This window comes from Homo sapiens, chromosome 2 (genome assembly GCF_000001405.40).
Source record: "Homo sapiens chromosome 2, GRCh38.p14 Primary Assembly".
NCBI classification, from domain to species: domain Eukaryota; kingdom Metazoa; phylum Chordata; class Mammalia; order Primates; family Hominidae; genus Homo; species Homo sapiens.
The window spans coordinates 99,283,780-99,308,379 of NC_000002.12; the positions used below are offsets into that span (position 1 = coordinate 99,283,780).

The window sequence follows — 24,600 nt, forward strand, 5'->3', positions numbered from 1 at the left end:
TCTAGGGTTAAGATGATGCCAGAAAGTTAGCAAGTGACTTTCCTAAAGCCATTTCATACAGTATATGGGGCTGGCTGCCATCTTACCCTTTTTCTCATCAAAATTTTTCAATTAAAATGTGAAACACTGACTTTTATCAAAGAAGTTAATGTTAGGGTTGCCAGATAAAATATAGGAAGCCCAGATAATTTTGAATTTTAAATAAACAGTTAATAATTTGTTAGTGTAAATGTGTTCTAAATATTGTGTGGGACTTATACTAAAAAATTATTTGTCATTTCTCTGGAATTCAAATTTAACCTGGGCTTCCTACATTTTGTTTGCTAAATCTGGCAACGCCAGTCAGTGAAAAATAAAATTCACTTCACAGAAAACCCACAGCATGGCTAATGTCCATGAGAATACCTTTAAAGAAACACGGCCCTTGATCCACACAGACATACACTACATATTATAAATGCAGGTCAAAATTCTTCCTTTAATGTGATTCATGTTATTTTAATGACTTTTAGGTCAAACTCAGATTCCCAGTTACAGGTGCCCTTGGCTAGTTTTATCTGTGTAACATTTGAGGCTGCATATGTGATCATGGTCTTGGGTTTCATCTGAGATGTTAGAAGCCATGTCTCTTGAGGTACTTGGCTCGTGCAAGGACATCATTGCAGAAGTCACAGCTCAGGTCCTGGCTGCTTCGGACATAGCCAGCACCCCCACTGTAGGCACAGAGTCCACCTGAAATGCATGAGATAGGTTAATGCTGACCTAGGGTACTCAGCAGTTAACTCTGATTCTCTTTACTAACTACCTAACAGGAGGCAGCTGGAGTTTCGGGGAATCTGGTGCAATGTATTATATTTGTCCCTATTAATTCTGTGCTTGAGACAACTGACTGATAGCGTTACACGTACCTCTCAGGTACTGGTCAGGGGTCCAGGTTGGAAACCTCCTCTGGATTTCTTTGATTCTAGTAGTCAGAACTTCAGTTGTCTGGGAAACCTGAGACTCACTAATCCAGGATGTGGGAGCTTGAGAGCCAGGGTCCTGCAGGGAAGGAGGCAGAGAAGAAGCCACGTAAGCTGGGTGGGAGGGTGATCCGGCTTACTGGGCTCAATGGCGCTTGTTCATTTCCTGTCTCTTGTTCTCCTTTCACCTTTGATGGAACCAATGCCACCGTCAGTCTCCTGTGAGGTAGGTTAGATAGGGTGGTCATAGCCTCCCTTATGGGGAACAAATTTGCCAGACAGGTGGAGAGAACAAACCACTGACAGTGCACAAACTACATGGTCAGAATATCCTACAGTGCCAGACACGGTGGCTTATGCCTGTGATCCCAGCACTTTGGGAGGCCAAGGTAGGTGGATCACTTAAGCTCAGGAGTTCGAGACGAGCCTCAGCAACATGGGAAAACTTCATCTCAACAAAAAATACAAAAATTAGCTGGGCGTGGTGGTGTGTGCCTGTAATCCCAGCTACTTGGGAGGCTGAGGTGGGAGGATCACCTGAGCCTAAGAGGATCAATTGAGCCTGGGAGGCAGAGGTTGCAGTGAGCCATGATTGCACCACTGCATTCCATCCTGGGTGACAGAGTGAGACCCTGTCTTAAAAAAAAAAAAAAAATATTTGCAGTAAGGAGACAAAGAACAGAAGGGAAAATTCCCAAATCCATGCAAGCACAGAAACCCATGATTAGTGTCCTTGGGCTGACCTATGCTCATTGTAAGAGTGAAAAAAAAGCACACTCCTGGGTGGAGAATTAAAATGCTGAGACACGCGATGTATGTGCTAGCATGCACAACAATAGCGCATGTGCATCCCGGAGACCCTGAAACATGCTTAACAGCAATAACCATCCCCTCTGTCTTATGAATAATCATATAAGCTTTCCATGAAGGGATTTTCCCAATGTCACATGAGGCTGTCTCATTCTCCACCCAGCTACCAGAGTGTAGTTTTGCTTTGCAATAAACTTCTTCGCCTACTTTTAATTTGGACTCGTGCCCAAATTCTTCTGTGCGGCAAAGTCAAGAACTTGAACTGGCCCTCCAACAACACCTGGAGATCAGACAGTAAAGCCATTTATACCTGTTAGAATAGCTACTGTCAAAAATGCAAAAGACAGGTGCTATAATTTGAATGCTTGTCCCTTGTGAAATTCATGTTGAAACTTAATCCCCGATGTGGCAGTATTGAGAGGTGGGGCTTTTAAGAGGTGATTAGATTAATCTATGAATAGATTAATAGATTAGTGGGTTAATGGTTATCACAGGAGTGAGGCTGGTGGCTTTATAAGAAGAGGAAGAGAGACTAAGCCAGCACACTCAGCCTCTCACCATGTGAGGCCCTGAGCCACCCTGGGACTCTGCAAAGAGTCCCCACCAGCAAGAAGGCTCTACCAGATGTGTCCCCTTGACCTTGGGGTCCCCAGCCTCCAGAACTGTAAGTAATAAATTTTATTTTTCATAAATTACCCATATTTAGGTATTCTGTAATAAGTAACAGAAAACAGACTAAGACAACTAGGGTTGGTGAGGATGTAGAGAAACTGAAATCATTGTACATTGTTGATGGCAATGCAAAATGGTGCAGCTACCATGGAAAACTGTACTGTGGTTTCTCAAAAAATTAAAATTAGAACTACCATATGGTCTGGGTGCAGTGGCTCACACCTGTAATCCCAGCACTATGGGAGGCCAAGGCAGGTGGGCTCACCAGGCAGGAGTTTGAGACCTGCCTGGCCAAAATGGTGAAACCCCATCTCTACTAAAAATACAAAAATTAGCCAGGTGTGGTGGTGGGCGCCTGTAATCCCAGCTACTCGGGAGGCTGGGACAGGAGAATTGCTTGAACCCAGGAGGTGGAGGTTGCAGTGAGCTGAGATAATGCCATTATACTTCAGCCTGGGCAACAAGAGTGAGACTGTCTCAAAAAATAAAACAAATTAAAGTAAAAATTAATACCATATGATTTAGTAATCCCCTTTCTGGGTATTCATCCAAAAGAATTGGAATCAGGATCTCAAAGAGATATCTGAGCTCCCACATTCATTGCAAAGCTATTCCCAATAGCCAAGAGGTAGAAACAACCTAAATGTACCTGACAGATGAATGAATAAAGAAAATGTGGTATACACATATCATGGAAGATTATTCAACCTTAAAAAGAAGGAAATCCTGCATTATATGACAACATAGATGAATCTTGAGGACATTATGTAAGTGAAATAAGCCAGTCACAGGACAAATACTGCATGATTTCACTTATATGAGGTATCTAAAATAGTTAAGTTCATAGAAGCAAAGAATAGAATGATGGTTGCCAGGGGCTGATGGGGAGAGGGAAACTGGGAGTTGCTAATTAATGGGTATAAAATTTTAGTCATGCAAGACAAGTAAGTTCTAGAGATCTGATGTATGACATTGTGCCTATAATTAACAACACTGTATTGTATGTTTACACATCTGTAGCCAGCATTATCCTTAGCAAACTAACACAGAAACAGAAAACCAAATACCACATGTTCTCACTTGTAAGTGGGAGCTAGATGATGAGAACACATGGACACATACAGGGGAACAACACGCACTGGGGCCTATTGGAGGGTGGAGTGTGGGAGGAGGGAGAGGATCAGGAAAAATAACTAAAGGGTACAGGCTTAATACCTGGGTGATGAAATAATCTGTACAACAAACCCCCATGACACACGTTTACCTGTGGAACAAACCTGCACATAAACCCCTGAACTTAAAGGTTGGAAAAAAGGCTTTCTTTTTTTTTAATATTAGGTTTGTGACTGTAAATCTCCCTTAAAGCATTTTTACCATATCTCATAGTTTCTAATATCTAGTGTTTCTCTATCATCCTGTTTTAGTTATTTTTAAGTTTCACTATGATTTGTTTCTTTAACCTAAGAGTTACTTAGTGTTGTGTATGTGTGTGTGTGTGCATGTATTTTAAATTTCCATATGATCAGAGATATTTTTAATTTTTAAAATTATCTTCTAGCATAATTGTATTATTGTGATATCTGAAATTTTTGAGGATTTCTTTAATAGATGATATATGATCAACTTTTGTAAAATGTTCCTCATGTGCAGGAAACAATTGTGTATATCCTAATGGATACGTAAATAATTACATCCCCCTCATTTTTCTCTCCTGCTCTCCCTCCCTCCCCAATTAACAATCAAGCCTCTTAATTGTGTTCTTATTACATGTGTTAATTGTTTTACTTATTTTTCTTCTATATCTTTGCTGGTTTGTTTATTGTATAACCTGTAAATAATCAAGAGAGATGTGTTGAAATTTCCCATTATGATAGCAGGTTTATTATTATAGTAATAATAATTTATGCTGCATATATTTTGAGGCTATTTTACTGGCATCTACTTGTTTTAAATTGCTGTATGTCCTGGATAAATTCAATCTTTTTTGTTATGTCATAATTCTCTCCATACCAAATATTTTTTCTTCTAAAGTGTATTTTATTTAATATATCATAGTTATCAACATTATTTTGATTATTGTATTCCTGATAGGTCTTCTTTTTACCATACTTTTACTTCAAACTTTTGCATATTCAAATGCTTTAAGTGTTTCTCACATAAACCATGTAAATCTGGATTTGGGCTTTTAATCTCGTTCATACATCTGTGTCTTTAAACCAGTAGGTTTCCTATATTTATATTTATTGCCATTATTAATATCGTGTAGTTGCTACTATCATCTTAATTTGTTATTTCAATGTGTCTCTCTTTTTCTACATTCCTTTTTACTCTTGTCTTAACTATTATTATTATTAATATTGTTAGAGGTAGGGTCCCACTCTCTCGCCCAGACTGGAGTGCAGTGGCGTGATTTCAGCTCACTGCAACCTCCGCCTCCCAGGCTCCAGCGATTCTCCTGCCTCAGCCTCCTGCGTAGCTGGGATTACAGGCACCTGCCACTACTGCCTGACTGATTTTTGTATTTTTAGTAAAGACAGGATTTCACCTTGTTGGCCAGGCTGGTTTCAAACTCCTGACCTCAAATGATCCATCCGCCTCAGCCTCCCAAAGTGCTGGGATTTTAAAGACGTGAGCCACTGTGCCCAGCCTATTTTGTAACCGAAACTATGTCTCACCCTAAATAAGGCAAGGACTCTCTGATCCTTTGTCTCCCCACCACTGCTTCCAGCACCCATCATATTGACCAAACCTATACCCTGGGTTTTACTTAAAATGTGGTCCGGGAACCAGCAACATCAGCAACAACTGAGAACTTATTTATTAGAATTGCAGAACTTTGGGCCCCATTTCAGACCTACTGAATCAGAATTCTCATGTAAACAAGAGCTCCAGGTGTTCATATGCACAATAAGCTTCGAGAGTCAGTAAACTAGACTTAAAAAACAAAAATCTGTGGCCGGGTAAAGTGGCTCACACCTGTAATCCCAGCACTTTGGGAGGCTGAGGCAGGCAGACCACTTGAGTCCAGGAGTTCGAGACCAGCCTGGGCAACATGATGAAACCCCATCTCTACAAAAAATACAAACATTAGCCAGGCATGGTGGTGCATGCTTGTAGTCCCAGCTACTTGGGAGGCTGAGGAGGATCGTGTGAGCCCAGGAGGCAGAGGTTGCAGTGAGCTAAGATCATACCACTATACTCCAGCCTGGGTGACAGAGCCAGACCCTGTCTTAAAAAAAAAAAAAATCTGTTAAGATGATAGATCTCATGTTAATGTTAAGTGGTGTTCTTGCCAAAGAAAAAAGATAGTCAAGTTACAAGGTTTGGGCTAAGGAAGGGATGAGCAGACCTTTCACTGCTGCTTCAGCTTAAGGGTGTAACTCAGTTAATGACTGAGTTAGTGTAGGTAGCAGTGTGATGCCCTCCTTCAATGCTGCCAGTGCAAACCCTCCAAACAGTCCAGAAAGGGATTTTTCTGTCTGAACTTGTAATTCTTTTTCCAGATAGTCTGAACGTCTAAAGGGACTTCTAACCCTTCTTATACGCCTTTGATTATCACTTCCATGTAGGTTTCATCATATTTGGGAGAAATGTCCAAATCTAGAGAATTCTCTTGTTTGTTGTTGTTGTTGTTGTTGTTGTTGTTGTTTTTTGAGATGGAGTCTCGCTCTCTCGCCCAGGCTGGAGTGTAGTGGCATGATCTCAGCTCACTGCAACCTCTACCCCCCAGGTTCAAGCAATCCTCTCACCTCAGCCTCCCAAGTAGCTGGAATTACAGGCATGCACCACCATGGCCAGCTAATTTTTGAATTTTAGTAGAGATGGGGTTTCACCATGTTGGCTGGGCTGGTCTCGCACTCCTGACCTCATGTAATCCACCCTCCTCGTCCTCCCAAAGTGCTGGGATTATAGGCATGAGCCACTGCGCCTGACCCAAATCTAGGGAATTCTTATTTCATCTTCAAAGGAAATGGACTCATCCTTTCCTCAAAAGCCAGATTTTACAAAGGAGACAGAACAGCGCAGCAGAAATGATGCCAGCCCTAACATCACAAGATATTCAGTCCCAGTTCTGCCTCTTGCAGCTGCCATGTGACTTTGTAGCAGCAACTCCTTCCTTGTGATTCTATTTCCTCACTTGTCAAGGATGGATTACGTGTCCCTCACCTCATCTTATCAGATTATTGGATGGGTCTCCAAATCGAAGTAAAATAAAGTATTTGAAAGTACTTTAAAAGTATCATACAAAAAAGTCAAGGGAAGCAAATTTGGAGAGATCATTGAGAAATAAATTTTTCTAAAATCTTAAAAAAAAGACTGCAATACTCACAGGTTCCTCAACAACAACCACAAAAGCAGTGTGAGATCAATGGAAAAAATCAAGCCTCATTCTCACCCTTGCCATCACTGATTCCCTGGCGCAGAGTTAATTCAACAGTGGATTAGTGACCATTCCCCAGAAGTCTCTATCTGGCAAGTGACACCAGACGGAATTCATGCAAAAATAAAACTCAATCTTCAGAACTAAGAATTGTATAGAAAAAGGTAAAGGAAAATAAATTTAACATTTTTTGAGAATCCAACAGATATCAGGTACTTTTTTGCATTGTTTCATGGAATCTTCATAATAATGCTGTAAGAATGGCATTTTATAGGTAGAGAAACTAAGGCCCAGTGAGATTAAATGACTTATTCAAGGCCATGTGGCTACAAAGTAACTGAGGAAAGATTTAATCTGTGATCTTTCTCTTGGACCACTTAGGTCCAGAAATCCAGAATAGGGTGGCCCGGATGATATTCTGGAAACACGGCATTATTTACTGTGAAAAGAAATTGTGGCTCAACATGAAACAGAAATGTTGCTGCTCATATCTCTCAGGCAGAACTGTCACTGTCACAGCTCTAGAGACCTTCATTCATGCTGTGTTCTGTGAAGCTTTGCCATCATCCAAAAAACAAAGCAGTGGTGCCACATAGCAGAATGGCCACATGTGTCAACGGATGAAGAGTTACCTGCACCATGCTAGTCCTATCGCCCATGTTGACCAGAATTTTGTCACCGGGAGACTTCCTGGACAAGACACCAGCGATCACGGCAGGATCCATGCAGTACTTTTGGCCAATGGTTTGCATCATGGGTTGATATTTCAGGAGGTATGGCATGTCTATTTCAGCCAGCCTTTCAGAAGCACGAACTCCTAAACCAAACGCAAAAGGAATGATGCAGCTTGTTGTGACTTATGCTGCAACAGGAGCTCAAGGGGAGAGAGAAAGAACAATCCAAGGATCTGAGTAATGGTCGAGGACTGACAATCCCAGATTTTGGTCTTAAATCTTTAGTAGTGGCCACTCCCTGACCTGAGGTTAGGGCTCTCCTCCTGTGAGCTTGAGTCAGCATCCCCTGAGCCAGGGTCCCCTGTGGCTGTCAGTGCCCTTCGACTGGGCTCTCAGGGGCTGCTCTGGCCCACCCAGGACAATTCCATGGCCATAGGAACCATTGGTCCCATTCTAAGCACCCCAATAAAATGAAATGTGCCTGCCTATCAGCTGCAACCTGACATGAAGGAGAAATTCTGCAAACCCTTCAATAAGTCTTTAGATAGTGTTCCTCAACAAGTTTGTTCACAATTGCACAGTTTTCCACTCCTAAACGATACCAACAAATCATGCAAGTTTAAACCTTTCTGAAATAATAAGAATGCTGGGCAAAAGGAAAGCCAATATTAATCTACTTAGCTAGCCTTACCTTCTAGGTGCTTTTATGGTTTAAAAAGCACCCTCGGCCGGGCGCAGTGGCTCACACCTGTAATCCCAGCACTTTGGGAGGCCAAAGAGGGAGGATCACCTGAGGTCAGGAGTTCGAGACCAGCCTGACCAACATGGTGAAATCCCATCTCTACTAAAAATACAAAATTAGCCAGGCATGGTGGCACATGCCTGTAACCCAGCTACTCTGGAGGCTGAGGCAGGAGAATCGCTTAAACCGGGGAGGTGGAGGTTGCAGTGACCTGAGATTGCACCATTGCACTCCAACCTGGGCAACAAGACAGAAACTTATCTCAAAAAAAATAAATAAAAATAAAAAATAAAAAGCACCCTTGTCCACATTGTGTCAATCAGAGCTCACAACAACACTGTAAATACCGTACTGCTAGCCGCCTTGCCACGGATGCAGGGGCAGCTAAGTGACTTGTTCAAGAAGCAGAGCTTTGGGACCCCATACCCGGAACTCTTTCCAACACTCAGTAGCGTGAGGCATGGGAAACAGTGAAAGCCGGGGGATAGGTTGAGAGGGCGAAAGCTCATAGCTACCACAGTAGTTCAGGCCGTGACGTCTTCCAATCCCACAAGATGCTCCAGGGGTGTCCAGGCTTTGGATGTTTCCATAGCATCCCCAGTTGCTGCTTTCAGACAAGTCTACAAGTTGAGAAAAGTTCAGCCTAAGGCATGGAACTAGTTCTCATCATTCTTCTGTCCATGAATAAAATTACATTAATAAAAGTAACAATAATAAAATCCATTACATCACCTTCACTCTGCAATTGAAACTCTTGAAATTTAAATGAGAAATATCCCATAAATGATCACAAAAACTTCCTCAATACCAAATTCTCACCTGCTCCCCTGCAGACATGAGTAACTACTGGAGCTATTGAAGCAGTTACACTCTTTGTAAAGCTCTGGTGCCCTTTGATGTTGTCAGGTGGTATCTTGGAACACAAAGGAGAGGATTTGTTCCCTGTAAAGTAGTCCTCATCTTACTTTTTTTTTTTTTTTTTTTTTTTTGAGATGGAGTCTGGCTCTGTCGCCTAGTCTGGAGTGCAGTGGCACGATCTCGACTCTCTGCAACCTCTGCCTTCTGGGTTCAAGTGATTCTCCTGCTTCAGCCTCCCAAGTAGCTGGGATTACAGGTGCATGCCACCACGCCCAGCTAATTTTTGTATTTTTAGTAGAGACGAGGTTTCACCATGTTGGCCAGGCTGGTCTCGAACTCTTGACCTCAAGTGATCCGCCCGCCTCGGCCTCCCAAAGTGCTGGGATCACAGGCGTGAGCCACCGCGCCCAGCCTCTTCTTTCATCTTATATGAACTCTGAGCACTTCTCCGTCAAATACTCCTAACTTGTTGCTCTGATGAAATATTTATGTTTGCTCTGGAGAAACAAGTATAAAACCTGGATCTCTCTGGGATATCAACCCAGATCCAAAGTAAGGCACTGCTCGTAAATGAGGATTTGAGGCTGGCTACACTTTCTCTCAGGTACACTTCTAGATAAGAGCCTAAGGCTGCAGAAGGGAGTGAAGGAGAGAGGCATGGGACCAGTCTCCACATGGGATCACCCACTTTCCACTTCTTCCCTTTATCTCTTTCTCCTTTCCATCTCTCTCTACCTCTGTCATTCTAGTCATCACTGAAGGGGAGGAGTGGTTTCAGACACTCGGGATTTCACAAAGGCCATTGAAGAGGAGAATGTTCTTTCTCTTCACACCAGGAGGAGAGTGCATGAGTATTTAGATCTACAATTCACACAAGGTGGGTACACAAGTATTTATAATATATCTACAATTCACACCAGAATGGGGACACATGAGTCAGTACTAAGATACCTACAGTAGGCAGGAAATTGCTCCTTTTGAGAATCATCTCACCATTATAAGGCTGTAAGAATGTCTCATTAGATTACTCTTTAATTAATTAATTAATTAATTAATTTATCTATAGACAGGGTCTCACTGTCACCCAGGCTGGAGTGTAGTGGCATGATCATGGCTCACCACAGCCTCAACCTCCCAGGTTCAAGCTATCCTGCCACCTCAGCCTCTCAAGTAGCTGGGACCACAGGCACAAGCCAACACACCTGTGTAATTTTTTGAAGAGATGGGGTTTTGCCTTGTTGCCCAGGCTGGTCTCAAACTCCTGAGCTCAAGCAATTTGCCCGCCTCGACCTCCCAAAGTTCTGGGATTACAGGCATGAGCCACCGCATACACCTGGTTTACTCTGTTTAATCTATTTGATCCTTTGACTAAAGTAGATTAGATTATCAAACCTTAATGATTTGCAGATCTTTGGAGATATATCTATTGCCTATAATCATATGTGTCCTGTGTGTTTACATAAATGCATTTTCAGGTTCTACTTTCTTAGAACTTTATGGGGTTGATAAATACTCGTCTTTTGGAGTAAATACTTCTACTTTACAAACTTGTGATAAGTAACCTAAGAAAAATGTGGAAATGAAAAGACTAGATCTTTTATGAATATACTAAAAATTAAACCAGCTGACAGGTTCTTTTTTATTTTTTAATCAGTGCACTTTTATCTTTATGACTGGTGACAAATACCCTTAGTACTGCAGTTGGTTTTATCACTCCTTGGTTCCTGCCTTGTGGACCTCTCCCTAGCCACACTCTATGATCCTCAAAATTCTTTGTATTCCCAATGCTTAGCACCTTGTAGGCATTTTTAAATATTTGTTGAATGAATGGGTCAATAACTAAATGAATGACTATGAGACCTCATCTAAGAAATCTATTAAATTTAGAGTCAGGAAAATTTAGCTTCTCCTGAGGAACTTTGCTTCCTCCTTTTATTTATTAAAAAACAAGTAGGCTGGGCGCAGTGGATCACCCTGTAATCCCAGCACTTTGGGAGGCCAGATCACGAGGTCAAGAGTTTGAGACCAATCTGGCCAACATGGTGAAACCCTGTCTCTACTAAAAATACAAAAATTAGCCGGGTGTAGTGACAGGCGCCTGTAATCCCAGCTACTTGGGAGGCTGAGGCAGGAGAATCGCTTGAAACCGGAAGGCAGATATTCCAGTGAGCTGAGATTGCACCACTGCACTCCAGCCTGGGTGAAAGAGCAAAATTCCATCTCAAAAAAAACAAAAACAAAAGCAAACCAACAAAAACAAGTACTTTCCCTTTTTCCTCCAGCTGCAAAGCTGAAGTTCAATCACAGCAACTAAATCAGCCTCAGTGATTAGCTTAGTCATGTGTACTCGGTTGCCTTGATTCTGGTTTTCTATTTGAATTAGTCTTATTCATTAGTCTTATTCTGGCAACCACCTCAATTCTTCTATGGAAATAAATGCTTTAGGAATAAATTCAATTTGGCATTTTTTATAGTGGACAATGAGCAGCTATTGATGGTGTATATTTAAAGTCTGGCTTCAAGCAGTGCTGTTTTAAGCCCACCTTGCATTCCAGAGAACCCCAATCTTTTGTGGGACATTTGGGGAGAGGCTGATTGTTGGTGGCTGTTCCTAACTCCAGGATTTGTTGGACAGTTTAGGGAAAAAATAATCTTTTTTGTTGCATTTTCAAGTATTAGAAGTGCCATTGTGTTCCTGTGCTTATCCTTCCCATCTCCAAAGTCATTTGTAAAAATCAGCCACACTCACCCATCAGGGCAAGGAGGCCCAGCAGCAGCCACAATGCAGACATGATGACGATCTGGCTCTACGGCTCCTGAAACACTTTTAAAACAAAAATTAGCTTGAGAATACAAAAATATCAGTCATCATCATAACCACATGTAATATTTCCACAGAAGCAGGGGTGAAAAGAACAAATTTCCCCATATCTGACCTAAGAAAATGAATTATTTGAATCATAGTGAAAAAAAAGCAAAAGTAGGACAAGTAAGTGCTCCATTCATCCTTTCAATTAATCTAAAAATGAGAAGACTCTTACTCAGCCCACAGGAACTCAACATACAGTCAAGTTACTAACTACTTTATTTCAAGAAGGCAAGACACTTTGAATCTCAACCACCAAGAAACATACTGACCTGGCTCCAGACCCTGAAAAGCAAATTTCTGATGCCCATACCTCATCCCAAGAGCCTTTTTATTATCTCCATTATCAAAAGGAGAATTTTGTATTGGTGACTTCTTGGAATTTAGGTCCCTTCTTCTTCAGGTTTGAGGAAAGACCACGCTTTCCTCAGTGCCCTGGAATGTACACTGGTTGGAAGACGTTTCCCACTGCTCTAACCCCAGCCTGGAATCACAGACCCCCTTTATCACCTTGAGCCATGTTCCCCATTCCCCCTCTGTAAAACCCCAATGCGGCAACAAACCTGGACCAGAGCCCAGGGAGAATGGAGCTACCTCCACCAGCAAATCCCCAAGAAGCTGGCTCATGGGCAGGGGTCCCAGGATTGAACTCATGAGGTGCTCACAAGACTGGAGAATGAACACGTGGCCAACATGGAGCACCCGCTCATGTGCTCTCTCTCTCTCTTATCCCAACCATTCCCCTAATCACCTTCCATGAGTACAAACAGCCCTGGTTCTCCTACTGGCTACCAAACCAATACACAAATACCACCAAGGATAGTTTGCTGTTAACCTCAGGGAATGGTAGAGTTTCTGGACCTTTGCCTCCAAAGCGCCTCCCACCAAGCCCTGCCACTCCAGGGTGTATGTCATCATTGCCCCAGTCAGCAGAGCCTGGCAGCCTAGCATTTTGAATTATTACTGTCATTACATGTAGGAATGTGCATATAAACAAGGCACTTGGTACTTTCATAATGCTTCTCTCATCTCTTTTGTTTTGAGGTTAACCTTATGGGTTGTTTCTTTCAAACACCCAGGAAGAGATCACATCTCAAGATGGAGAGGCTTTAAGGAAGTCATTTGAAGCCAGGTGTGGTGGCATACACCTGTAGTCCTAGCTACTTGGGAGGCTGAGGCAGGAGGACTGCTTGAGCCCAGAGGGTCAAGGGTGCAGTGAGCTATGATCACACCACTGCACTCCATCCTGGGAAACAGAGCAAGAGCCTGTCTCAAAAAAGAAAAAGGAAGTTATTCGATTTCTGTCTTCTTAAACTGAGGGGGCATATGCCCTTCAGTTGCAGTCATGCTTTTTGTTATTCTCTCTACAACATTGAGATGGTCTGTCCGATTTTGCTTAGTTGAGCACAAAATGTCATGGTCAGTCCCAACACCAAAAAGATTCAGGGACCTGGAATCTTAGCTGGGTCTGCAGGAACGCTCAGATTTAATCACCCAACAGGAGTCATTTATTCAGCATCCTGAGCCTCCAGCAGTAAACAAGAGAGGACAACCAATCCCAGGAGAAAAGAATGGACAAAGAGCTGCTTGGGTATAGGAAAAGCTCATGGTCTCATGAAAGTGCATCACTGGCTTTATGGAAGGACCCTTCAGGAAAAAGCACTGCTCACATTCAAATGCTCCACCCAGGGTATTTCACTCTTTTTGCTGCTTTTCCAGGAAAGAAAAAATACTTCCTCTTGGAAACCCAAGTGGAAGGACTCAGCTTTTATTGTAACAGGAGAGCTACCGTATTTTCCATGCTTGGAACTAAATATCTGTGTTGAGAAGTCACTTTAATGAAAGAGTCTATGTAAATACATGTGCCACTTAATGGGAACACAGAATTACTTTCTAGTTGCTCCTGGGACCAGGTCATCAAGGTAAAGTTTTTCAATTTCATCAGGGAAGAGCAAGAAGTGACAATGGAATTTTTCTTTTTTTTCTTAGAGCCAGAGTTTTACTCTGTCACCCAGGCTGGAGTGCAATGGCACGATCACGGCTCACTGCAGCCTTGACCTCCTGGGCTCAAGTGATACTCCCACCTTAGCCTCCCAAGTAGCTGGGGCTAGAGGTGTATGCCACCATGCCCAGATAATTTTTTAGTTTTTATGTAGAAATGGGTCTCACTATGTTGCCCAGGCTGGTCTTGAACTCCAGGCTTCAAGTGATCCTTCCACCTCAGCTTCCTGAGTAGGTAGGGTTACAGGCTCAAGCCACCACACCTAGCTTGGAATTCTTAAATGGATGAACAATGTCATTTTGTCCATAAATACAGCATATTGAAGCAACCCAAACTCTATGGCCCAACTTTACAAGTGACGAAAAGTACTCTGTGTTTAGAAGAGATTGTTGAGACATCACTCGGGTGTGCTCAAAGAGTGTCTGTCAGTTCCCTATGACTCATTTGTTAATTCCCCTGTGGCTCCCTGCTTAAAACCATTATGAAGATGTCAGACCAAGGCAGCACAGTGGTCATGATGTCAAGCACAATGTTTATGGTAGCATCCCTCTTCTCCCTTCCCAGAGAGCAAAATAGTAACAAACAGCAAGGGGGTGTCAACAAGCTGGGGCAACAGGCCTGCCAGGCACACTGGAAACTGACAACCAGAGCATCCCTCAGGAGCTACCTCATGTTCCTGGTGGCTTTGATGGGGACATCTTCCTCTACTCACCCTCTCTCCACTGAGTACTTTGGAATTCCCAAAGCACTGTGTAAGTTTGTAAGGCATAATGGACCATGTCTTCTTCAGTTCATCAATTTTTCTAGAAAAGGTAGAAACAGGTATCTTTGGTCTTATGGTTTTCTCACCTTAGAAACTTTTCCATGAATGCTCTCAATCTTTACCTTGAACAGTATCATTGCAGGTCATTGGGGCCCTCCATCCAGCCCAGAAATGTGACGTATTAACACCTCAACGTGCCCAATGAAGGTGCCCCTGCCCCATTGTGGTGTCCCCATCTAATCCTGAGAGAACTGAGAACTCCTGTATGCATCCACATTAGGCATGGTCTCCTGCTCTAAGCTGTGTTGTCACCCTTGTTTATTGCTAACATGTCTCTGTGTCTACCTACTCATTGTGTGCCAACAGGCCTTTCTTTTTTTAATTTTTTAATTTTAATTTTAATTACTTTTTGTTTTGTTGGGTTTTGCTTTGTTTTGTTTGAGACAAAGTCTCACTCTGTCGCCCAGGCTGGAGTGCAGTGGTGCGATCTCAGCTCAATGCAACCTCCGCCTCTTGAATTCAAGTGATTATCTTGCCTCAGCCTCCTGAGTAGCTGAGACTACAGGCACTCCACGCCCAGCTAATTTTTGTATTTTTAGTAGAGATGGGGTTTCACCATGTTGGCCAGGCTGGTTGAGAACTCCTGACCTCAGGTGATCCACCCACCTCAGCCTCCCAAAATGCTGGGATCATAGGCATGAGCCACCGCGCCCAGCCCCTGGGTTTTTTTCTTTTTCTTTTCTTTTTGTTTTTTCTTTTTCTTTTTCTTTTTTTCTTTTTTTTTTTTTTTTAATCGAGACAAGGTCTCACTCTGTCTCCCAGGTGGGAGTGCAGTGGCCCAAAATTGTGGAATCATCTCACCATTATAAGCCTGTAAGAATGTCTCATTAGATTACTCTTTAATTTTTAAAATTGTTTTAATTTTTTTTTTTTCAAAACATAGTCTGACTGTCACCTAGGCTGGAGTGAAGTGCTGTGATCTCGGCTCACTGCACCCTCGACCTGCCTGAGCTCAGGTGATTCTCCTGCCTCAGCCTCCTGAGTAGCTGGGATTACAGCCCTGTGCCACCACGCCCAGCTAATTTTTGTATTTTTAGTAAAGACGGGGTTTCGCCATGTTGGCCAGGCTGGTCTCAAACTCCAGGGCTCAAGCAATCTGCCTGCCTCAGCCTCCCAAAGTGCTGGGAACCACCAACACCTGGCCTGTTTTAAAATTATTTTTAATTTTTTATTATTTTAACTTTTTAATTTTTTTAATTTTTGTTTTTTTAAAATTTTTAAATATTTATTTTATTCCATTTTTAAAATGTTTAAGTTTTTAAATTTCTTAAAGGCCTTACCAGTAGCATCATGTCGTACTCATCCTCTTCTTGCTATTCTAATCTTCTCCCTCCCTACATATATACACACACACGTACACACACACACGTACACACACACACATGCACGTACAGCAACACTCCAGCCCATTGCCTCACAGATTGCTATGCACCAACAGGCCTAAAATTAAAATAGTAATAGCAATGTAGTCACAAATATAAAATAATATAAAATTATTCTGCCACTAAGATCTTTTTTTTTTTGAGAAAAATACAACTTTTTAGAGCAAAAATATAGGGCAGCAACAGGAAGGCTCATTTTAAGCTGTTACGCTGCGTAGAGCTGCACCTTCACATGGCCTGTGAAAATACCTATTCACTGAATTTGGATTGTAATCAATAATTACCAGCCTAGAAGACCTCTGAAAGTTTGATCATTTTCTTCCCTCTGGGCAGGCAAATCTTCCCTGCATAGAGACACTGTGAGCTGGAAGGGAGTTCCTTCTCTCAGTGCGTCCTCTGTGCCTGCTTTTCCCATTTGCGTTTTTGAGAGTTCAGAACTCCAGGAAGGATCATCCTATGCTGGAGATTTCCCCGTGAACGTTTCCTTCTGCACAGAGCAAATCAGGGAGACTTGGCCCCTCTGTTCCGTCTATGGACTCTAGAGGCGTATCTGTCTTTTTAGTCTGTTAGCCGAGGCTGTTAGACATGTTGGCCTTAGTTCTTACACAGCTTGCAGAGAAAATAAGATTGTTATAGAACCAATACTCATGGTCTATGGGTTAATGTAGCATTGGCAAGACTGCCCATGAGGGCAGGCAAGGGATTTACCGTCTGGCAAAATACAAACACCTTAGTCTTTTGGCTTTCAGTTAACAAATATGACGTCGCATTTGGCCCTATTACAGCTACAGTTAAGTGCACACACATTTCTTTTCTCCCATTATTCGATTTGCACATGCTCACAAATCCAAAAGTAATGACATACTTGCATTAAAAGATATCTAAATTTTGATGAGTGTTGTAATGAACAGGAAAAATTATTCTATCATCTACAAATCTTTTCAAACTTGGGTTTTCTTTGCAAGGTCCTTAAGTTTCGCCTGAGTCCAATATTTCTTATGCAGCAGAGACACAATCATTGCCAACTGATCACCATACACTGGATTTTCATCCTCAATAAGCCCGAGTGTAAGATCCATGCCTCTGCTTCACACTCACCTGTCTTCAGTCAGTGCTCCTCCTTAGAGGTGGTGAGCCCACAGCGATTTATATAGAGTCCTGTTCTCTTGTTAAAAGTGTTCATCTCATCCTATTTTGGAGAGATTTATGACATCTCATAAATTATAATAATAATCATAATTATTATAAATACTCCGAACTTATATAGGGCCTTTTATTCGAGAATGTCCTGGCATTTTGCAAACATTAACCAATTTGTTTCTTGCCATACCTCAGAAGGCAGATCCTAGTTGTAGTTTAACTTTGACACATTGAGGTCCAACACTTGTCTTTATTCACATCATTTTCTGGGAATGTGGGTTAGGTAAGAAAACAAGGAAGGAAGAGAGAGAGAAAGAGAGAGAGAGTGAGAAGGAGAGAGAGAGTGAGAAGGGGAAGGGAGGAAGGGAAGAGGAAGGGAGGAAGGGAAGGAAGAAAGAAAAGGAAGAAGGAAGGAAGGAAGGGAGGGAGGGAATTGAACTTGGTGTGTCAGAAACTCATTATTGGTTTGTATTTCAGGTAAGCAGAGCGCCTAGACCAGGGGTTGGCAGCTTTTTCTTACAGACCCAGACAGGTTTTTGGGCTACGTGGTCTTTATAATGCCTCTGACATTGTAGCATGAGAGTGATCATAGATAATATTTAAATGAATGGCCAAGACTGTGTTCCAAAAAAAAAACTTTCTTTACTACACAGGTGGTGGCCCTAGGGCCGTAGGTTGCTGGCCCCTGTTCTGAACCACCGAGAGATACCAGTTCACATGTCCTCAGTTCAGCAATGTGGGGAGAGATGATCGGCTGGATGATGCTATTTTACAGACACCCAGGACCTACAGCGTGTTCCAAATGTCTACATCAATAAGTACTTTGAGAGGGTTCATATGAAGTTTCCAGGAAGGATTCTTTCCCAAGTTGTGGAAAGGGTGCATTTCATGACTGAAAGAGGGAGCCCCCTCCCTCACCACACCCTGTGCCCCAGCTCAGCTGAACAGCTTGATTTTCCCCAAACACAGCGCCATTCTTTGCACTAGGCATTCCTACAGGATCTTTCCTTTTTATCTAAACCCTCAGGGACAGGGGCTGTGTCTCATTCGTCTTTATAATACCAGCATGCAACACTCTGCATGATACATATTAGACACTCAGTAAAACACGTGGAATCAATGGCTTGCTTATCGGCTGACTGGTATACAGTCTGTTTCTTCTGCATCCCCTGCCTTAGCTCCCTCCCCATACCACAACTCAAACACAAGCTCCGTGAGAGCTGTGAATCTGGCTACTTCATTTATAAGACTGAGTCTTCAGTGCCCAGATAACAGCCTGGCACACTGTAAGTGTTCAGTAAATCTTTGTTGAATCAGTCAATGACTGAAGAATTCCTACAACCTCACCCAGCAAGATTTGGACTGGGCTTCCAATGCTGGGCCCCAGGTTAGACGTGTGTTCCTTGTGTTTCAAGCAACATGTGGATATTTCTACCATAGCACCTACAGCACTTTGGTTTGTTGTTGTCTTGAGAACAAAAACAAAGGCTTTTTTCTCCTGTATTCCTTATGGCACATAAGGGGTATTCAGTACATGTTTACGGAATGAGTAAATGAATGATTTAAAGCGTATTTATGACTTTTTGGAAGTCACTCACTCTGCATCCCCAGTGCAGACATTGAGGGTTAAGATTTTGTTATTCTCAGCCGGGCACAGAGCCTCACGTCTGTAATCCCAGCGCTTTGGGAGGCCGAGGCAGGTGGATCACTTGAGGTCAGGAGTTCGGACCAGCCTGGCCAACATGGCGAAACCCCATCTCTACTAAAAATACAAAAATTATCCAGGCATGGTGGCACACACCAGTAATCCCAGCTACTCGGGAGGCTGAGGCAGGAGAATCAGTTGAACCAAGAGGGAGAGGTTGCAGTAAGCCAAGATCATGCCAGTGTACTCCAGCCTGGGCCACAGAGCAAGCCTCCATCTGAAAAAAAAAAAAAAGAAGATTTTGTTTTTCTCTACTTGTGACTGAGATGGTGAGACCACAAGGCAGGGCACTGTGAGCAAGGGTCCAGATTTGGACACCCAGGGAGTTCCTGAACTTTAACTCTGGGAGGGGAGTGTGAGAACACTGGGTTCCTCTCGGTTGTTGGCAGAGTTGGGGTAAAAAGAGAACTAATGCACCCATTAAAAACTCTATCCTGACCCCCAAAATGGAACTCATCCATTTTATTTTTTCCACCAAGCTCTAGCACATACCAACAATTAAAAGGTATTACAGTGTGGGGAAATCTGGGGATGCCCAGCTCCACCTACAAAAGCACCCTGTCATCAGCCCAGAGGGCCATGTTAGCATCCTGGGAGGTTCTCCTGGGCAGCAGCCAGCATGTTGCCTGGCAAAGGCTCCACAGAGACGAAATGGCTTCTCACAAACCCTGCCTCTCTATGATGACTTCCACCTCCTCACCTGCTGCACCTGGGTCCCCACCCTAAGAATCCTAGAAGCTGAGGAGGTCGTTCTCCATCCAGCCTCCGGGACACTCCGCAGGCACATGACGGTCAGATTTATGTTTTAAAAAGTGTCCCCTGGCTGCTGATTGCATTGGAGGTGAGCCAGAGTGACTCGGGAGACTTCACAGAAGACCAGAAGAGAGATGATGGTTGGACTAGAGTGACGGGGCTATGGCTTGGCTGTGTCTCCACTGAAATCTCATCTCAAATTGTAGCTTCCATAATTCCCTTGCATTGTGGGAGGGACACAGTGGGAGACAATTGAATCATGGAGGCAGTTTCCCCCATACTGTTCTCCTGGTAGTGAATAAGTCTCAAGAGATCTGATGATTTTATAAGAAGAAACCCCGGCCGGGCACGGTGGCTCACGCCTGTAATCCCAGCACTTTGGGAGGCCCAGGCAGGCGGATCACGAGCTCAAGAGATAGAGAACATCCTGGCTAACACAGTGAAACCCCGTCTCCACTAAAAATACAAAAAAATTAGCCAGGCGTGGTGGGGGCACCTGAGACTTCAGGGGATTGTTGGGAAGGCAAGATTGGTTTTGAAATGTGAGGACATGAGATTTGGGAGGGGTCAGAAGTGGAATGATATGATTTGGCTCTGTCCCCACCAAAATCTCATCTCAAATTGTAGCTTGCATAATTGCCTTGTGTTGTGGGAGGGACCCAGTGGGAGACAATTGAATCATGGAGGCAGTTTCCCCCATACTGTTCTCATGGTAGTGTATAAGTCTCATGAGATCTGATGATTTTATAAGAGGAAACCCCTTTCACTTGGCTCTCACTCTTCTCTTGTCTGCTGCCATGTGAGACATGCCTTTCACCTTCCGCCATGATTGTGAGGCCTCCCCAGACAAGTGGAACTGTGAATCTGTTAAACCTCTTGCTTTTGTAAATTGCTCAGTCTCAGGTATGTCTTTATCAGCAGCATGAAAGTGGCTAAGAGAAAAAGGAAAGATATTACAGATCTATTTTAGAGGTGGAATTGACAGGACTCAGTTTGGGACAAGACGCCAAGGATGAGAGCAAAGAAGAGGACATAAGTGCCTGGGAGGATGGTACTAAGTCTGGAATGCTGAAGATGAAAGCACATTTACCAAAGAAGATGAAGTTTTAGGCTGGGTGGAGTGGCTCACGTCTGTGGTTCCAACACTTTAGGAGGTCAAGGCACTTCAAGACCAGCCTGGGCAACATAGCAACATCCTGTCTCAATTTATGAAAAAGAAAAAGAAAGGATTATGTTTTAACTCCCATGTAACAAACCTACACGTGTACACCTCAATCTAAAAATGTTTTTAAAGAGAAAAAATAACAAATTGTGGTGTAGATATGGAGAAATGGAGCCCTTATACACTCTAGGTGGGTATATACACGAATCTAGCCATTATGGAAAACAGTATGGAGATGCCTCAAAAAATTAAAAGTAGAAGTGGCATATGACCCAGAAATCTCACTGCTGGGTATGTATCCAAAGAAAATGGATATGTCAAAGGGAAATATGCACTCCCATGTTGACTGCAGCATTATTTGTAATAGCCAAGACACAGAATCATCCTAAGTGTCCATCAACACATGAGTGGATAAAGAAAATGCAGTATATACACATAATGGAATAATATTTTGTCATTAAAAAGCATGAAATCCTGTCATTTGCAGCAACACGATCAACCTAAAGGACATTAAGTGAAATAAGGCACAGAAAGACAAAATCACCCATTTGTGAAATCTAAAAAAGTTGATCATGTGTAATGGCCAGGTGTGGTGGCTCACGCCTGTAATCCCAGCACTTTGGGAGGCCGAGGCAGGCAGATTACCTGAGTCGGGAGTTCGAGACCAGCCTGGCCAACATGGTAAAACCCCGTCTTTACTAAAAGTACAAAAATTAGCCGGACATGGTGGTGGGCACCTGTAATCCCAGCTACTCAGGAGGCTGAGGCAGGAGAATTGCTTGAACCTGGAAGGTGGAGGTTGCAGTAAGCCAAGATCCCGCCACTGCACTGGGAAACAGAGCAAGACTCCATCTCAAGAAAAAAAAAAGGCGATCTCATAGAAGTAAAGAGCAGAATAGTGGCTACTAGAGGCTGGGGAGGAATGGGGAGAGATTGGTTGCATGCAAAATTACAGCTAGATAGGAGGAGTAAGTTCTGGTGTCCTATTGCACACTGCAGTGACTATATTTAACAATATTGTAGTGTATACTACAAAATATCTAAAAGGGAAGCTATTTAGTATTCTCATCAATTTGAGGTGATGGATATGCTAAATACCCTGATTTGATCATTACACAACTTATCCCATAAATCTATGCAATTCTTATGTATAAATTAAAAATAAAACTTTTACAAAATATATAATATCTTTTTATTTTGAGACGGAGTCTCGCTCTGTCACCCAGATGGAGTGAGCGTGATCTCAGCTCACTGCAACCTCCGCCTCCTGGGTTCACACCATTCTCCTGCCTCAGCCTCCCGAGTAGCTGGGACTACAGTAGCCTGCCACCATGCCCGGCTAATTTTTTGTATTTCTAGTAGAGGCGGGGTTTCACCGTGTTAGCCAGGATGGTCTCGATCTACTGACCTCATGATCCGCCGGCCTCAGCCTCCCAAAGTGCTGGGATTACAGGCATGAGCCACCACACCCTGCCTCATGATTTCTTATAAGTAAAAAACACACAAAAAAGGAGAGACCAGAGAATTGAATCCAGCCATCTAAATGGACATTGAACCCACTCAGCATGACAGAGTCAAGAATAAGACTTTGAGACAAGTGTGAACGTTTTCTTGAAAAAGTGAGGATCCAGGAGGTCTGAAAGGACAAGCCAGGGACATGGTGGCTCATAGCACAAGTTTCTGAGACACAGCCCCTGTCCCTGAGGGGTTAGATAAAAAGCAAACAGCCTGTAGGAAGGCCTAATGCAAAGAATGGCGCTGTGTTTGGGGAAAATCAAGCTGCTTAGTTGAGCTGGGGCACAGGGTGTGGTGAGGGAGGGGGCTCCCTCTTTCAGTCGTGAAATGCACCCTTTCCACAACTTGGGAAGGAATCCTTCCTGGAAACTTCATATGAACCCTCTCAAAGTACTTATTGATGTAGACATTTGGAACATGCTGTAGGTCCTGGGTGTCTGTAAAATAGCATCATCCAGCCGATCATCTCTCCCCACATTGCTGAACTGAGGACATGTGAACTGGTATCTCTCGGTGGTTCAGAACAGGGGCCAGCAACCTACGGCCCTAGGGCCACCACCTGTGTAGTAAAGAAAGTTTTTTTGGAACACAGTCTTGGCCATTCATTTAAATATTATCTATGATCACTCTCATGCTACAATGTCAGAGGCATTATAAAGACCACGTAGCCCAAAAACCTGTCTGGGCCTGTAAGAAAAAGCTGCCAACCCCTGGTCTAGGCGCTCTGCTTACCTGAAATACAAACCAATAATGAGTTTCTGACACACCAAGTTCAATTCCCTCCCTCCCTTCCTTCCTTCCTTCTTCCTTTTCTTTCTTCCTTCCCTTCCTCCCTTCCTCTTCCCTTCCTCCCTTCCCCTTCTCACTCTCTCTCTCCTTCTCACTCTCTCTCTCTTTCTCTCTCTCTCTTCCTTCCTTGTTTTCTTACCTAACCCACATTCCCAGAAAATGATGTGAATAAAGACAAGTGTTGGACCTCAATGTGTCAAAGTTAAACTACAACTAGGATCTGCCTTCTGAGGTATGGCAAGAAACAAATTGGTTAATGTTTGCAAAATGCCAGGACATTCTTGAATAAAAGGCCCTATATAAGTTCAAAGTATTTACAATTATTATGATTATTATTATAATTTATGAGATGTCATAAATCTCTCCAAAATAGGATGAGATGAACACTTTTAACAAGAGAACAGGACTCTATATAAATCGCTGTGGGCTCACCACCTCTAAGGAGGAGCACTGACTGAAGACAGGTGAGTGTGAAGCAGAGGCATGGATCTTACACTCGGGCTTATTGAGGATGAAAATCCAGTGTATGGTGATCAGTTGGCAATGATTGTGTCTCTGCTGCATAAGAAATATTGGACTCAGGCGAAACTTAAGGACCTTGCAAAGAAAACCCAAGTTTGAAAAGATTTGTAGATGATAGAATAATTTTTCCTGTTCATTACAACACTCATCAAAATTTAGATATCTTTTAATGCAAGTATGTCATTACTTTTGGATTTGTGAGCATGTGCAAATCGAATAATGGGAGAAAAGAAATGTGTGTGCACTTAACTGTAGCTGTAATAGGGCCAAATGCGACGTCATATTTGTTAACTGAAAGCCAAAAGACTAAGGTGTTTGTATTTTGCCAGACGGTAAATCCCTTGCCTGCCCTCATGGGCAGTCTTGCCAATGCTACATTAACCCATAGACCATGAGTATTGGTTCTATAACAGTCTTATTTTCTCTGCAAGCTGTGTAAGAACTAAGGCCAACATGTCTAACAGCCTCGGCTAACAGACTAAAAAGACAGATACACCTCTAGAGTCCATAGACGGAACAGAGGGGCCAAGTCTCTCTGATTTGCTCTTTGTGCAGAAGGAAACATTCATGGGGAAATCTCCAGCATAGGATGATCCTTCCTGGAGTTCTGAACTCTCAAAAACGCAAATGGGAAAAGCAGGCACAGAGGACGCACTGAGAGAAGGAACTCCCTTCCAGCTCACAGTGTCTCTATGCAGGGAAGATTTGCCTGCCCAGAGGGAAGAAAATGATCAAACTTTCAGAGGTCTTCTAGGCTGGTAATTATTGATTACAATCCAAATTCAGTGAATAGGTATTTTCACAGGCCATGTGAAGGTGCAGCTCTACACAGCATAACAGCT

At 43.0% G+C, this 24,600-nt stretch overlaps 2 protein-coding genes and 1 long non-coding RNA gene across 8 annotated transcripts in view; 1 reads left to right on the plus strand and 2 right to left on the minus strand.

Moving 5' to 3' along the window:
* Positions 1-458: 458 nt before the first annotated feature.
* On the minus strand, positions 459-20,996 carry LYG1 (lysozyme g1). 5 transcript variants are annotated; one of them, XM_047443275.1, is made up of 9 exons: positions 20,861-20,996; positions 19,114-19,234; positions 17,271-17,361; positions 14,680-14,770; positions 11,849-11,923; positions 8,757-8,861; positions 7,458-7,642; positions 909-1,041; positions 459-732 (listed from the first exon to the last, which is right to left on the minus strand). In XM_047443275.1, exons 5-9 carry the CDS (start codon positions 11,889-11,891, stop codon positions 614-616), a joined length of 585 nt encoding a protein of 194 aa, XP_047299231.1. In that variant the 5' UTR covers positions 11,892-11,923; positions 14,680-14,770; positions 17,271-17,361; positions 19,114-19,234; positions 20,861-20,996; the 3' UTR covers positions 459-613. The 5 variants fall into 5 exon arrangements, with proteins under 5 accessions (XP_047299231.1, NP_001358309.1, XP_011508882.1 ...); NM_001371380.1 differs by lacking the exon at positions 19,114-19,234; XM_011510580.2 differs by lacking the exons at positions 19,114-19,234; positions 20,861-20,996 and adding an exon at positions 18,911-19,045.
* LOC107985923 (uncharacterized) overlaps positions 2,312-24,600 on the plus strand; it is a 35,693-nt gene continuing 13,404 nt past the window's right edge. The window contains exon 1 of one of the 2 annotated variants that reach the window (XR_007087152.1): positions 2,312-2,436. This is a non-coding gene — a long non-coding RNA (uncharacterized LOC107985923). Of the gene's footprint in view, positions 2,437-23,292; positions 23,701-24,600 lie in introns of those variants that run through there. The other variant, XR_007087151.1, reaches the window with a different exon arrangement.
* TXNDC9 (thioredoxin domain containing 9) overlaps positions 22,405-24,600 on the minus strand; it is a 30,150-nt gene continuing 27,954 nt past the window's right edge. The window contains exon 5 of the mRNA XM_017003147.3: positions 22,405-23,006. Within this exon, the coding sequence (XP_016858636.1) occupies positions 22,994-23,006 (13 nt within the window). The 3' untranslated portion in view covers positions 22,405-22,993. The remainder of the gene's footprint in view (positions 23,007-24,600) is intronic.